A 14,199-nucleotide genomic window follows, 5' to 3' on the forward strand; every position below is an offset into this window, starting at 1 on the left:
TCTCTTTAACTTCATTTTTATTTACATTTTGAATACATAATACATTCACATGGTTCCAAACACAACACTGAAAAGTTGTTCTTCAGCTCCTGTTCCCAAGTCCCCAATTCTCCCCAGAGACAACCATCTTTGCCAGTTTATTGTGTTTAAATCTAGCGACATTTTGTACATAAACAAGCACACCCTCTTCCAACATTTTTTTTTTTTTTGAGATGGAGTCTCGCTCTGTTGCCCAGGCTGGAGAGCAGCGGCACGATCTCGGCTCGGCGTGATCTTGGCTCACCACTACCTCCGCCTCCTGGGTTCAAGTGATTCTCCTGCCTCAGCCTCCTGAGTAGCTGGGATTATAGATGCACTCCACCACACCCAGCTAATTTTTGTATTTTTAGTAGAGACAGGGTTTCACCATGTTGGTCAGGCTGGTCTCGAACTCCTGACCTCTTGATCCGCCTGCCTCGGCCTCTCAAAGTGCTAGGATTACAGGCATGAGCCACCATGCCCTGCCCCCACTTTTTCTTTAAAAATGGTAACCCTTTACACTCTTCTGCACATTAAGAACAGCTAGACCTAAGTTTAAGCACAGTACTAGCTTGATGACTTGTGATCCTCCCTGAACCTGTTTCCTCCTCTAAAATGGCAGTAATAGCAAGACACCTCACTGTTGTCGGGGAGTGCCAGGAGAGAATGCTTGCTGCGAAGCTGTCAGCACACGGCCTGGAATAGAGTGAGTGCTCCATATCTGGAAGTTATGATTAATTCTGCATCCTAGGGTGGCCAGGCGGGGCTTCCCAGTGCCAGAGGTACAGACTGAGAACCACACCCTTGGTGAGGCCACCCTACTTATGACTTAGGGGGCAGAGAGAACCTCAGTAAGGTCAGTGGTGTTTATTGAGGCTTTACTATGTGCTATGTGCCTCTTGCTGAGGTCTTAGCTAGAATCGTGGTATTTCAGGGTTTCTCAACATTTTTTTTTTTTTTTTTTTTGGAGATGGTGTCTCGCTCTGTCGCCCAGGCTGGAGTGCAATGGCGCAATCTCGGCTCACTGCAACCTCTGCCACCCAGGTTCAAGCAATTCTCCTGCCTCAGCCTCCCAAGTAGTTGGGATTACAGGTGCTGAATTCTTTTTTTTTTTTTTTTTTGTAGCATGGTGATATTGCACTATGCTTAACCGCATCCCTGGTCTCTACTCACTCAATGCCAGTAGCCTTCTTCCTGCCTGTTGTGACATCAAAAATGTCATACATTGCCAAATGTCCCCAAGAAAGAGTGGGGCTGAGGGAGGACAAAATCCTACCCACAGTTTAAAACCACCGCCTTATCTCATCCTCACAGTAACTAACCACAGTAACCCCAGGTGGTAAGTACTGTTAATGCCCCATATTGCAAGTGAGGAGACCAACAGAACAGAGTTTGGGTGACATTCCTGAGAACACACAGCTCCGAGATTCACGCCCAGGCACTGTGACTCCAGAGCTCACCTGCCCATTATGCAAGAACATCTGATCTTGGCTGGGAGCAGTGGCTCACACCTGTAATCCCAGCACTTTGGGAGTCCAAGGCGGGCAGATCACGAGGTCAGGAGATCGAGACCGTCCTGGCCAACATGGTGAAACCCTGTCTCTACTAAAAATACAAAAAATTAGCCTTGGTGGCAGGTGCCTGTAATCCCAGCTACTTGGGAGGCTGAGGCAGGATAATCGCTTGAACCAGGGAGGCGAGGTTGCAGTGAGCCGAGATTGTGCCACTGCACTCCAGCCTGGGTGACAGAGCAAGACTCTGTCTCAAAAAAAAAAAAAAAAAAAAAAAAAAGGCCAGGCTCGATGGCTCACACCTGTAATCCCAGCACTTTAGGAGACTGAGCGGGGCAGATCACGAGGTCAGGAGTTCAAGACCAGCCTGACCAACATGGTGATACCCCATCTCTACTAAAAATACAAAAATTAGCTGGGCTCAGTGGCATGCGCCTGTAATCCCAGCTACTCAGGAGGCTGAGGTAGGAGAATCGCTTGAACATGGGAGGCAGAGGTTGCAGTGAGCTGAGATCGCGCCACTGCATTCCAGCCTGGGCAATAGAGGGAGACTACGTCTTAAAAAAAAAAAATCACCTGGGGAATTTTCTGAAAGCTCAGGCCTCACCCCAGATGAATTAGATGTGAACCTGTGAATCTCTGGGCATGGGACCTGGGCTTCCACAGCTTTGCAAAGTTTCCATGGGATTTCAAGGTTGAGAGCCCTGTGTTAGGCTGAGAAGTGGTCAGGAAATTTTATGATCTCCAATCTTGGCAGCCAGTGTGGCAGGATACAGGCCTTCTCTCTGGGTCATCTGGGTTATCTCACAGGGGACCTGCCATTTCTTTCTCTTTTTCTTTTCCTTTCTTTTATATTTTAAAATTTTTTTTTGTAGAGTCAGGGTCTTGCTATGTTGCCTAAGCTGGTCTCGAACTCCTGGCCTCAGGCAGTCCTCTTACCTTGGCCTCCCAAGTTCTGGGATTACAGGAATGAGCCACTGCACCCGGCCTAAGACCTGCCCTTACTCCCCCAAGCTAAACCCAGGCAGCCCAGCCAAGGCAGGTCTTCCCTCTTCTAAACCTGAAAGCCCTGCTGAGCCCCCTCGAGTGCCCCATCCTTATCCCATAGGCCCAGGCTTATACCACTTGGTTATTCTTTATTCTCATGCATTCCAGGATGAGATCAGAGAATGAAGAGGGTCCCGAGGACAGCCTGGGAGAGAAGCACCAGCCTTCCTATTGGCAAGAAATGACCCAGTGCTGGGGGTAGTGAGGGGCCCTATGAGGGTGCCGGGGTCATGCCTGGAGCTGCTGCTGACTCCTCCAGCCAGAGCCGCACTGGTCTGAGCGATCGGGTGACACAGGCTTGAATTTCTCCTGAAGCGTTTGTGTTCTCTGCAGGGGAGAGAGGGATGGTGGAGCTGGCATTTGAAAGACGCTGTTACCAATGTCCTCTCCTCAAACCCTCACATCATGCCCAGGAGGACTTGGACTGGACAAGACCCCACTGGACAGATGTGTAAATGGAGGCTGAAGGCCAACTGCCTTACTCAAGGGTGTTCAGAAGCCAGGAGACCACCTCCTTTCAACCCCGTGCCCAGCTCAGTTGTGTGGCCCAGGGTGCAAATAGAAGGTTTCAGGCAGGACTGGAATGCACTGGTCTTCAGTGAAATGGTTTGTTTGTTTGTTTATTTGTTTGTTTGTTTGTTTTTTGAGACACAGTCTCACCCAGACTGGAGTGCAGTGGCACAGTCTCAGCTCACTGCAACCTCTGCCTCCCAGGTTCAAGCAATTCTCTGCCTCAGCCTCCTGAGTAGCTGGAATTACAGGTGCCCTCCCCCACGCCCAGCTAATTTTTGTGTTTTTAGTACAGATGGGGTTTCACCATCTTGGCCAAGCTAGTCTTGAACTCCTGACCTCGTGATCCACCCACCTCGGCCTCCCAAAGTGCTGGGATTACAGGATTATAGGATTACTGTGCCTGGCGAGTTTTGTTTTTTTTGAGACAGAGTCCCATTCTGTCGCCCAGGCTGGAGTGCAGTGGTGCAATCTCAGCTCACTGCAACCTTCACCTCCCGGGTTCAAGTGATTCCCCTGCCTCAGCCTCTCGAGTAGCTGGGACTACAGGTGCCTGCCACCACACCTGGCTAACTTTTATATTTTTAGTAGAGATGGGGTTTCACCATGTTGGCCAGGCTGGTCTCAAATTCCTGACCTCAACTTATCCGCCTGCCTTGGCCTCCCAAAGTGCTGGGATTAAAGGCAAGAGCCACCACAGCCGGTCAAAAGGGGTTTTGAAGAGGAAGCGTCAAAAAGGACACCTGGGACTGTAGGAGGCAAGAAGCCTGCCCTCGATGGTCTTGCTCCCCCACTCCCCGACCCCAAGCCCTTTGGAGACCCCAGGAGATCTGTGCATTGTTCTGGGCCCTGGAGCAGCCTCAGCCACATCAGAACTTGGCAGGTGTGCCCACCCCTCACCTGGCATCAATCTCCTTCCTCTGTCTTCCTGAACATGGCCAAGGCCTCCGCCAGCACACCATCAGGGTCTAGGATTTTGACCTGGAGGGAAATACCAAGAAGTTGGTTTGGAGAGCATGGAGGACCCAGGCTGCCAGCCTTGACTGGCGCTGCCTGCCGTGTGGGGTGCTGCCAGCCTCATCAGGAGCCACCTCCCTTGCTAGGGATGCCCTGACTGAAAACAAAACCTTGTCTGTTCCCTGTCTGGGCTTGGCTGGGCCTGGCAGATCTGGCCTGGGCATGGCTGGGGATGCTGGCTTCTGTCTCTGTCTGGGTGTGGCCACAGGGCCCTGGTGAGGGCTGCCCACCTCAGGAATGGGGAACTGAGTGGGCTCAGGGGCCTCGTCACGGCCAAAGTCGATCATCGTCCCGCATTTGGCCATATTGTCCACCCAGAAGCCTTCAAACAGCTGGCCGTGGTCCAGATGGAAGAAACGCCCCGCCCCGTTCTTCATGCCTCTCTCCCAGCAGCCCTCGTAGCGGTTCCCGTTCTCTGGGGGAAAGGACAGGGAGGTGTGGTGCAGGGTACACCAAACTAAGCTAGACCCCCAGGGGTCGCTCTTCCAGAGCTCAGTGCAAATCCTAACACATTGGGAGGCCAAGATGGGAGGCTCATAAGCCCAGGAGATCAAGACCAGCCTGAGCAACATAGTGAGACCACATCTCTGCAAAAAAAAAAATTTTTTTAATTAGCTGGGCATAGTGGTGTGCACCTATAGTCCCAGCTACTCTGGAGGCTGAGGTGGGAGGATGGCTTGAGCTCAAGAAGTTGAGGCTGCAGTGAGCTGAGATTGCCCCACAGCACTCCAGCCTGAGTGACAACCTCCGCCTCCCGAGTTCAAGTGATTCTCCTGCCTCAGCCTCCTGAGTAGCTGGGATTACAGGTGTATACCACCACATGCAGCTACTTTTTGTATTTTTAGTAGAGACAGGGTTTCTCCACGTTGGCCAGGCTGATCTCAAACTCCTGACCTCATGATCCGCCCGCCTCTGCCTCCCAAAGTGCTGGGATTACAGGCATGAGCCACTGCGCCTGGCTTTTTTTTTAAAAATTGAGATATAAGTTCATATAACATAAGTTGGCCATTTTGAAGTGTATAGTTCAGTGGCATTTAGTACATTCACAATGCTGTGCAACCATTACCTCTATCTAGTTTCAAAACGTTTTAATCACCCGAAAAGGAAACCCTGTGCCCATTAAGCAGCCATTCCCCACACCCACTAATGTCACCACCCCCATAGTCCTAGGCAACCATTAGTCTACTTTCTGTCTCTGTGGAGGTGCGTGTCCTAAAAATTTCATATAAATAGCATCATATATATGTGACCTTTTGTGACTGAGGGGAGAGATAGGGTGCTCTTCCTCTCTTGTCCCACATTGACACAAGGGTCAGTGTGGGACAAGAGTGTGGGGTGTGGCCTGTCTCTGTGGGACCAAATGGGCGTGGCCAGCTCGCTGCCGGGGGCGTGGTCGGGTGGGCGGGGCCGGCGGGGGTGGGGCACTCACTCAGGCGCAGCATGCCCTCCCCGTTGGGCTTGTCGTTCTCCCACTGTCCCTCGTAGATGTCGCCGTTGCTGTAATACATGCGGCCCCACCCGCTGCGCTGGCTGCCACACCAGTCACCCTCATAATACTCCTTGGGTCCGAAAAACTGGATCCCATAACCCTGAAAGTACGAAGATGCTACTACTCAGGGCGCCCCCCAACACCACCAGGAAAGCCCACCGTCTTCCCAGGCACCCCTAGAGCCACACACCCCAGCTTCTTCCTTCTTCCTCAGCCCTACGTCCAAGCGGAGGGTCGTGTCTTAGCGGAGTATCCTGTCTTTTTTGTTTGTTTGTTTGTTTTTAGACAGAGATCCACTCTGTCACCCAGGCTGGAGTGCAGTGATGTGATCTCGGCTCACTGTAACCTCCGTCCCCCGGGTTCAAGTGATTCTCCTGCCTCAGCCTCCCGAGAAGCTGGGATTACAAACACGCATCACCACGCCCTGCTAATTTTTGTATTTTTAGGAGAGACAGGGTTTCACCATGTTGGCCAGGCTGGTCTTGAACTCCTGACTTCAAGTGATCCGCCCGCCTCAGCCTCCCAAAGTGCTGGGATTACAGGTGTGAGCCATAGTGCCCACCGATAATGTCTTGAAGGATCTCCCCATGCTCTGTTTCTCTCTGTCCCTCTGCTGGCGCCTCCATGCAGCCAGTCATTAAACTCCCTCCTTACTGACCCACCCTCTCCTCTCTCATCCCCACCACACCATGCGCCATGCAGCCCCTACAGCGCCGGAGGACTCTTTAAATCGCCCATCTAGGCTGGGCGCTGTGGCTCACCGGCTCACTTTAGGAGGCTGAGGTGGGTGGATCACTTGAGGTCAGGAGTTTGAGACCAGCCTGGCCAACATGGTGAAACCCCATCTCTACCAAAAATACAAAAAATTAGCTGGGCGTGATGGCGGCGCCTGTGATCCCAGTTACTGGGGAGGCTGAGGCAGGAGAATCACTTGAACCTGGGAGATGGAGGTTGCAGTGAGCTGAGAATGCACGGTAGCCTAGGTGACAGGGTGAGACGCTATCTCAAAAAAAAAAAAAATCGCCCATCTGATCATGCTCGCCCCCCTCCCACTCTTATTTTGACCCAGAAAAATGAACATAAACACCATACTTAGCCTGGCGTGGTGGCTTACGCCTATAATCCCAGCACTTTGGGAGGCCGAGGCAGATGGATCACCTGAGGTCAGGAGTTTTAGACCAGCCTGACCAACGTGGCAAAACCCTGTCTCTATTAAAAATATAAAAAATTAGCTGAGTGTGGTGGTGGGCACCTGTAATACTAGCTACTTGGGAGGCTGAGGCAGAAGAATTGCTTGAACCCAGGAGTCGGAGGTTGCAGTGAGCCCAGATCGTGCCATTGCACTCCCACCTGGGCAACAGAGCAAGACTGTCTCAAAAAACAAACAAACAAACAAACAAAAAACACCACACTTAGGCTGGGCGCTGTGGCTCACGCTTGTAATCCCAGCACTTTGGGAGGCCAAGGCAGGCGGATCACAAGGTCAGGAGATCGAGACCATCCTGGCTAACATGGTGAAAACCCGTCTCTACTAAAAATACAAAAAAATTAGCTGGGTGTGGTGGTGGGTGCCCGTAGTCCCAGCTACTCGGGAGGCTGAGGCAGGAGAAGGCCGTGAACCAGGAGGCGGAGCTTGCAGTGAGCCAAGATCGCGCCACTGTACTCCAGCCTGGGCAACAGAGAAAGACTCCGTCTCAAAAAACAAAAAACACCACACTTAGTGTCCAACCACAGGGAAACAAGGTCTGTTTGCAGATCACACCCGAGGAGGTTGGGTTGAGAAGCCAAGTCTACTCCTCAAAATCCTGATTTCCCACATATCCCTGAGGGCCCCCGCAACTCTTCTCCTCACTCCTGTCCCAGGGCAGACACACTCTGCTGTTTTACATCTCGTTCCCTTTGCTATTTTTTTGCCTCCCATCTTTCTCCCTTTTTTTTCTTCCTGGCTAACTCCTAGCATCTTTTAGTGTCACCTCCTACAGGAAGCCTGCCCTGAATTCCCTCTTTTTGAGACAAGTCTTGCTCTGTTGTCCAGGCTGGAGTGTAGTGGCACCACCATAGCTCACTATAACCTCAGCCTCCTGAGATCAAGCAATCCTCCTGCCTCAGCCTTTTGAAAAGTTGGGACTACAGATGTGCACCACAACATCTAGCTAATTATTATTATTATATAGTTTTATTTATTTATTTATTTATTTTGAGATGGAGTCTCACTCTGTTGCCCAGGCTGAAGTGCAGTGGCGTGATCTCGGTTCACTGCCACCTCTGCCTCCTGGCTTCAAGCGATTCTAATGTCTCCGTCTCCCTAGCTGGGACTACAGGTACACACCACTATGCCCGGCTAATTTTTTTTGTGTTTTTTATTTAGTAGAGACGGGGGTTTCACCATGTTGGCCAGGCTAGTCTCGAACTCCTGACCTCAAGTGATACACCCCTGTCTGCCTCCCAAATTGCTGGGATTACAGGCGTGAGCCATTGTGCTTAGCCTTCTGTCCTGAATTCTCTAGGCTGGGCTTGATGACCTTCCTCTGGGCACCCTGTGAAAACATCCCTCCTAATACCATATTCTACGTAAATTGGTTATTCAGGGCTTTCTCTTCCTACTTGCCAATAAACAATTTGGGAGCAGAGAACATGAAACCCTGGGCTCTACCACTTGCTAGCTGTGTGACTCCAGGCAAGACTGAAACTGCCTTTGCAAAATTATGACTGAGACAGTGAAAGAGATTTAATTTAACTGACTCCATCTTGCTTCTAACCTCTAAGCTGTCCATGTCCATTCCTGGGCTTAAGCTGAACTAACTTTGGGAGAAACTTATAGTTTATAGTTTAAACAAAGACAGTAACAGCCCTTTCCCGAAGACCTCCTTCTTGCCTGGGGACTAGATTGCCTTTGTAGGATTAACATTAGCTACAAGATTATAAATTATGGTTTAGGAGTCATGCAGCTGGAAGCTACAAGATTCTGATCCTCACTAAACTGCTCCTAAGATCAATGCTTAAGATATTTTGCAGACCTTGCACTTGATGGATCAGCTGGCACTACCCAAATCAATAAACTGATTTATGTGATCTTGTGGCTCCCCACCTAGGAACTGACTCAGGGCAAGAAGACAGCTTTGACTCCCTGTGATTTTATCTCTGACCAATCAGCACGCCTGGCTTACTCTTTCCCCCACCCACCAAGTTATCCTTAAAAACTCTGCAGCCAGAATGTTCCGGGAGACTGATTTGAGTAATAATACAACCCAGGGCCAGGCGCGGTGGCTCATGCCCGTAATCTTAGCACTTTGGGAGGCCCAGGCTGGCGGATCACCTGAGGTCGGGAGTTCGAGACCAGCCTGGCCAATATGGAGAAACTCTGTCTCTACTAAAAATACAAAATTAGCAGTGTGTGGTACCACATGCCTGTAATCCCAGCTACTCGGGAGACTGAGGCAGGAGAATCGCTTGAACCCAGGAGGCGGAGGTTGCGGTGAGCCGAGATCACACCATTGCACTCCAGCGTGGCGACAAGAGCGAAACTCCATCTCAAAAAATAAATAAATTAATAATAATAATAATAAAACTCAGGTCTCCCACACAGCCAGTTCTGTGTTAATTACTCTTTCTCTATTGCAATTCCCGTCTTGATGAATCGGCTCTGTCTGGGGAGCAAGAAGACAGCTTTGACTCCCTATGATTTTATCTCTGACCAATCAGCACTCCTGGTTCACTGTCTTTCCCCCACCCACCAAGTTATCCTTAAAAACTCTGCTGCTGGAATGTTCGGGGAGACTGATTTGAGTAATAATACAACTCAAGGCCAGGCACCGGCAAGGTGAACCCCTTGGGCAGTTACAAGACACCTCATCTCTTCGAGCTTGTTTGCTTATCAATAAAATGGGCATGAAGATGATGATGATGATGAGCTGTTGCTGTGAGAGTTAACTGAATATTAAATGTGTTTCAGGCCGGGCGCGGTGGCTCACGCCTGTAATCCCAGCACTTTGGAAGGCCGAGGCGGGCGGATCACGAGGTCAGGGGATGGAGACCATCCTGGCTAACACGGTGAAACCCCGTCTTTACTGAAAATACAAAAAATTAGCCGGGCGTGGTGGCGGGCGCCTGTAGTCCCAGCAACCTGGGAAGCTGAGGCAGGAGAATGGCGTGAACCCGGGAGGCGGAGCTCGCAGTGAGCCAAGATGGCGCCACTGCACTCCAGCCTGGGCGGCAGGATGAGACTCCCTCTCAAAAAAAAAAAAAAAAAAAAAAGTTTTAAATATGTGTTTCAGGCTCACAGTAGCAGTTGCTCAGTTGCAATACTGTTTATTATTAGTGTCTCTGGGACTGATGGTGAGGATTCCTCCACACTTGTGGGAGTAGATGGAGGGAACCTGTGCCCAGCTTGGGTGTTTCCGGGCTGAGCACGCGCCTCTGGCTGGCTTCGGCCCCCCGGGACCCTCCTCTCCTGTCCCCTGCTCTCTTGCTCCCACTTTTCCTACCTCCCTTTTATTCAGGCCCAGCAGAAAGGGGATTCTCAGAAAGTGATACCTGGGGAAAAGAAAGCCAGGAAACGAGGGGGAAAAGGGTGGAGGCGACTTCGTCCCCACAAGCCTGGCTGGCTCCTCGCAACCGCAGGGTTTCGTGGGCTCCTCCCTGGCCTTCTGTTGCTTCCTGTTTCCTGGGTTTTGTTCTGAGAAACTTTGCAATTCCCCCACCCCTTCCTTCTCCCACGAGCAGCACAACCCTGTCCTCCTCCCTGTAGACCTCCCCTCTCTTTTCTCCCAGGCCTCTCTCGGCTTCCCCTAAACACACACGCGCGCACACACACACACACACACACACACACACACCCCGGCTGGCAGGCCTGCTCACCGATTTCTTATCACCTTTCCACCAGCCTGAGTAGACTCTCCTGCACTTTCCTGTCTGTTGGTCAGGAAGGCTGAGGGTGCCGTAGCCGTCTCGCTTCCCAAACTTCCAGTCCCCCTCATAGATGGCTCCTTTCTTCTTCCAGACCTGTGTTCCTTTCCCTGGTGACACACAGATGGGCAATGCTGCAGACATGGCCGCCGGGGGGTGGGGGTGGTGTGCCTGCCTGAGCCTCAGGGGCCCCCAACTAGACGAATCTAGAGAGCTGGGACAGGCTCTGCGCATCATCCTAGACACCAAGTACCCAGGAGAAGGCCAGGAAAGTTCCATTTCTTTCTTTCTTTCTTTCTTTCTTTTTTTTTTTTGAGGCAGTGTCTCACTCTGTCGCCCAGGCTGGAGTGCAGTGGCGCGATCTCAGCTCACTGCAACCTCTGCCTCCCGGGTTCAGGAGATACTCCTGCCTCAGCCTCCAGAGTAGCTAGGACTACAGGTGTGCGCCAACACACTTAGCTAATTTTGTGTTTTAGTAAAGATGGGGTTCCATGTTGGCCAGGCAGGTCTGAAACTCCTGACCTCAAGTGATATGCCCACCTCGGTCTCCCAAAGTGCTGGGATTACAGGCGTGAGCCACTGCGTCCGGCCAGAGGTAATTCTCTTATTTGTTGATTAGTGTCGCATGCCTGTCTTTTCCAGGAGAATGTGAGCTGCAGGAGGGCACAGACTTTGGTCTGTTTTGTTCCCTGCACTGAAAAACTGTGCCTGGAGGCTGGGTGCAGTGGCTCGAGCCTGTAATCCCAGCACTTTGGGAGGCTGAGGCGGGTGGATCACCTGAGGTCAGGAGTTCGAGACCAGCCTGACCAAAATGGCGAAACCCTGTGTCTACTAAAAATACAAAAATTAGCCAGGCGTGGTGGCAGGCGCCTGTAATCCCAGCTACTCAGGAAGCTGAGGCATGAGAATCTCTTGAACCTGGGAGGCGTGGGTTGCAGTGAGCCGAGATGACGTCGTTGCAGTGAGCCGAGATGACGTCATTGCACTCCAGCCTGGGAGACGAGCGAAACTCCATCTCAAAATCAAACAAACAAACAAACAAACTGTTCCTGGCATGTTGTAGGTGACTAATACCTGCTAATTTACTGTTTTCTCTTTTTTTTTCTTTCTTTCTTTCTTTTTTTTTTTTTTGAGACAGAGTCTTGCTGTGTTGCCCAGGCTGAAGTGCAGTGTTGCGATCTCGGCTCACTGCAACCTCCGCCTCCTGGTTCAAGAGATTCTCCTGCCTTAGCCACCCCAGTAGCTAGAATTACAGGTGCCCGCCACCATGCCCAGCTAATTTTTGTATTTTTAGTAGAGACGGGGTTTTACCATATTGGCCAGGCTGGTCTCTAACTCCTGACATCGTGATCCGTCTGCCTTGGCCACCCATAATACTGGGATTGCAGGCATGAGCCACCGCACCCGGCCTTTTTTTTTCTTTCTTTCTTTCTTTTTTTTTTTTTTTAAGACGGAGTTTTGCTATCGTTGCCTGGGCTGGAGTGCAATGGCACGATCTCGGCTCACTGCAACTTCCACCTCTCAGGTACAAGCAATTCTTCCACCTCATCCCCCCAAGTAGCTGGGATTACAGGAATGCACCAGCACGCCTGGCTAATTTTGTATTTTCAGTAGAGACGGGGGTCTCTCCATGTTGGTCAGGCTGGTCTCGAACTCCCGACCTTAGGTGATCTGTCCGCCTCGGCTTCCCAAAGTGCTAGGATTACAGGCGTGAGCCACCGCGCCTGGCCTTTTTCTTTCTTTTTTTTAGACAGGATCTGGCTGTGTTGGCTATGCTGACGTACACAGCTCGCTGCAGCCTCAACCACCCAGGCTCAAATGATCCTTCTGCCTCAGCCTCCTGAGTAGCTGAGACCACAGGTGCATGCCACTACACCTGGCTAATTTTTTAAAAAAATTTTATAGAGGCAGAGTCTCTCTATGTTGCCCAGGCTGGTCTCAAACTACTGGGCTCAAGCAGTCCTCCTGCCTAGGCTTCCCAAAGTATTGGGATTACAGGCATGAGGCACCACACCAGGCATTTCTTTCTTTTTAGAGATGGGGTCTTGCTATGTTACCCAGGCTGGTCTTGAACTCTTGAGCTAAAGAGATTCTCCCTTCTCAGCCTCTCGACGAGCTGGGAATACAAGCACACACCAGTACACCGAGCTTAATACATATTTAACAAAACGATGAATAAAATATTTGTGGAGTACCAATATTGGTCAATTCATGTCTGGGTCCTTGGTAACCCAGGAACAAATTCAACATTATCCCTCTGAGCTTTGTGACCTTGACCAAGTAAGTTAATTCTTTGGGTCTCTCTGAGCCTCAGATATCTCAGCTGTAAAATGGGTATAAGAATATCTTATGGGGGGGCTGGGCGCAGTGGCTCACGCCTGTAACCCAGCAGTTTGGGAGGCCGAGGCGCGCTGATCACTTGAGGTCAGGAGTTTGAGACCAGCCTGGCCAACATAGTGAAACCTGGTCTCTACTAAAAATACAAAAATTAGCTGGGCGTGGTGGTGCTTGCCTGTAATCCCAGCTACTCTGGAGGCTGAGGTAGGAGAATCACTTGAATCTGGGAGGTGGAGGTTGCAGTGAGCTGAGATGGCGCCACTGCACTCCAGCTTGGGCGACAGAGTGAGACTGTGAAAGAAAGAAAGAGAAGGAGAGAGGGAGGGAGGAAGGGAGGAAGGGAGGAAGGAAGGAAGGGAAGAAAGAAAGAAAACGTGCCATTTGTGACAACATGGATGAATCTGGAGGACATTATGCCAAGTGAAATAAGCCAAGCAGAGAAAGACAAATACTGCATGATTTTACTTATATGTGGAATCTAAAAAGTCAAACTCATAGAAACAGTAAAATAGCAATTAGCAGGGGCTGGTGGGGTGGGGAAAATGTGGAGATGTTCTGTCAAAGGGTGCATACTTTTTGTTACAAGATGTACAAGATTTGGAGACCTAAGGCTGGGCACAGTGGCTCACTCCTATAATCCCAGCAATTTGGGAGGCTGAGGCAGGTAAATCACTTGAGGCTAGAAGTTCAAGACTAGCCTGGGCAACATGGTTAAGCCCTGTCTCTACTAAATATACACAAATTAGCCTGGTGTGGTGGCGCATGCCTATAATCCCAGCTACTCAGTAGGTTGAGGTAGGAGAATTGCTTGAACGTCAGAGGCAGAGGTTGCAGTGAGTGAGATTGCGCCACTGCACTCCAGCCTGGACGACAGAGCGAGACTGTCTCAAAACAAACAGGTCGGGTGCGGTGGCTCGTGTCTGTAATCCCAGCACTTTGGGAGGCCGAGGCAGGCGGATGATGAGGTCAGGAGATCGAGACCATCCTGGCCAACATGGTGAAACCCCGTCTCTACTAAAAATACAAAAATTAGCTGGGCATGGTGGTGAGCACCTGTAATTCTAGCTACTGGGGAGGCTAAGGCTGGAGAATCTCTTGAACCAGGAGGCGGAGGTTGTAGTGAGCCGAGATCGCAACACTGCACTTCAGGCTGGGCAAGAGTGAGACTGAAAAAAAAAAAAAACGCCGGGCATGATGGCTCACACCTGTAATCTCAGTACTTTAGAAGGCTGAAGCGGGCAGATCACCTGAGGTCAGGAGTTCAAGAACAGCCTGGCCAACATAGTGAAAGTCCCAGCTACTTGGGAGGTTGGAGGCAAGAGAATCATTTGAACCCGGGTGGCAGAGGTTGCAGTGATCCAAGAT

At 50.8% G+C, this 14,199-nt stretch overlaps 1 protein-coding gene across 2 annotated transcripts in view, besides 2 other annotated features; it reads right to left on the reverse strand.

Moving 5' to 3' along the window:
* The window catches only part of MORN3 (MORN repeat containing 3), a 23,903-nt gene continuing 9,704 nt past the window's right edge, over window positions 1–14,199 (reverse strand). For both annotated transcript variants that reach the window (NM_001363685.2, NM_173855.5), the window contains 5 exons: window positions 10,450–10,607; window positions 5,533–5,692; window positions 4,334–4,518; window positions 3,987–4,067; window positions 1–2,903 (listed from right to left, as the gene is read on the reverse strand). In NM_001363685.2, the coding sequence (NP_001350614.1) occupies window positions 3,993–4,067; window positions 4,334–4,518; window positions 5,533–5,692; window positions 10,450–10,607 (578 nt within the window). In that variant the 3' untranslated portion in view covers window positions 1–2,903; window positions 3,987–3,992. The remainder of the gene's footprint in view (window positions 2,904–3,986; window positions 4,068–4,333; window positions 4,519–5,532; window positions 5,693–10,449; window positions 10,608–14,199) is intronic.
* Window positions 2,332–2,833: an enhancer, noted in NCBI's record as "H3K4me1 hESC enhancer chr12:122088979-122089480 (GRCh37/hg19 assembly coordinates)". NCBI's record gives its function as "activates a minimal SCP1, AML or CMV promoter by ChIP-STARR-seq in naive H9 embryonic stem cells {active_cell/tissue: H9 hESC(naive)}" and the evidence as "EXISTENCE:reporter gene assay evidence [ECO:0000049][PMID:30033119]".
* Window positions 2,834–3,333: an enhancer, noted in NCBI's record as "H3K4me1 hESC enhancer chr12:122089481-122089980 (GRCh37/hg19 assembly coordinates)". NCBI's record gives its function as "activates a minimal SCP1, AML or CMV promoter by ChIP-STARR-seq in naive H9 embryonic stem cells {active_cell/tissue: H9 hESC(naive)}" and the evidence as "EXISTENCE:reporter gene assay evidence [ECO:0000049][PMID:30033119]".

This window comes from Homo sapiens, chromosome 12 (genome assembly GCF_000001405.40).
Source record: "Homo sapiens chromosome 12, GRCh38.p14 Primary Assembly".
Taxonomy (NCBI): Eukaryota; Metazoa; Chordata; class Mammalia; order Primates; family Hominidae; genus Homo; species Homo sapiens.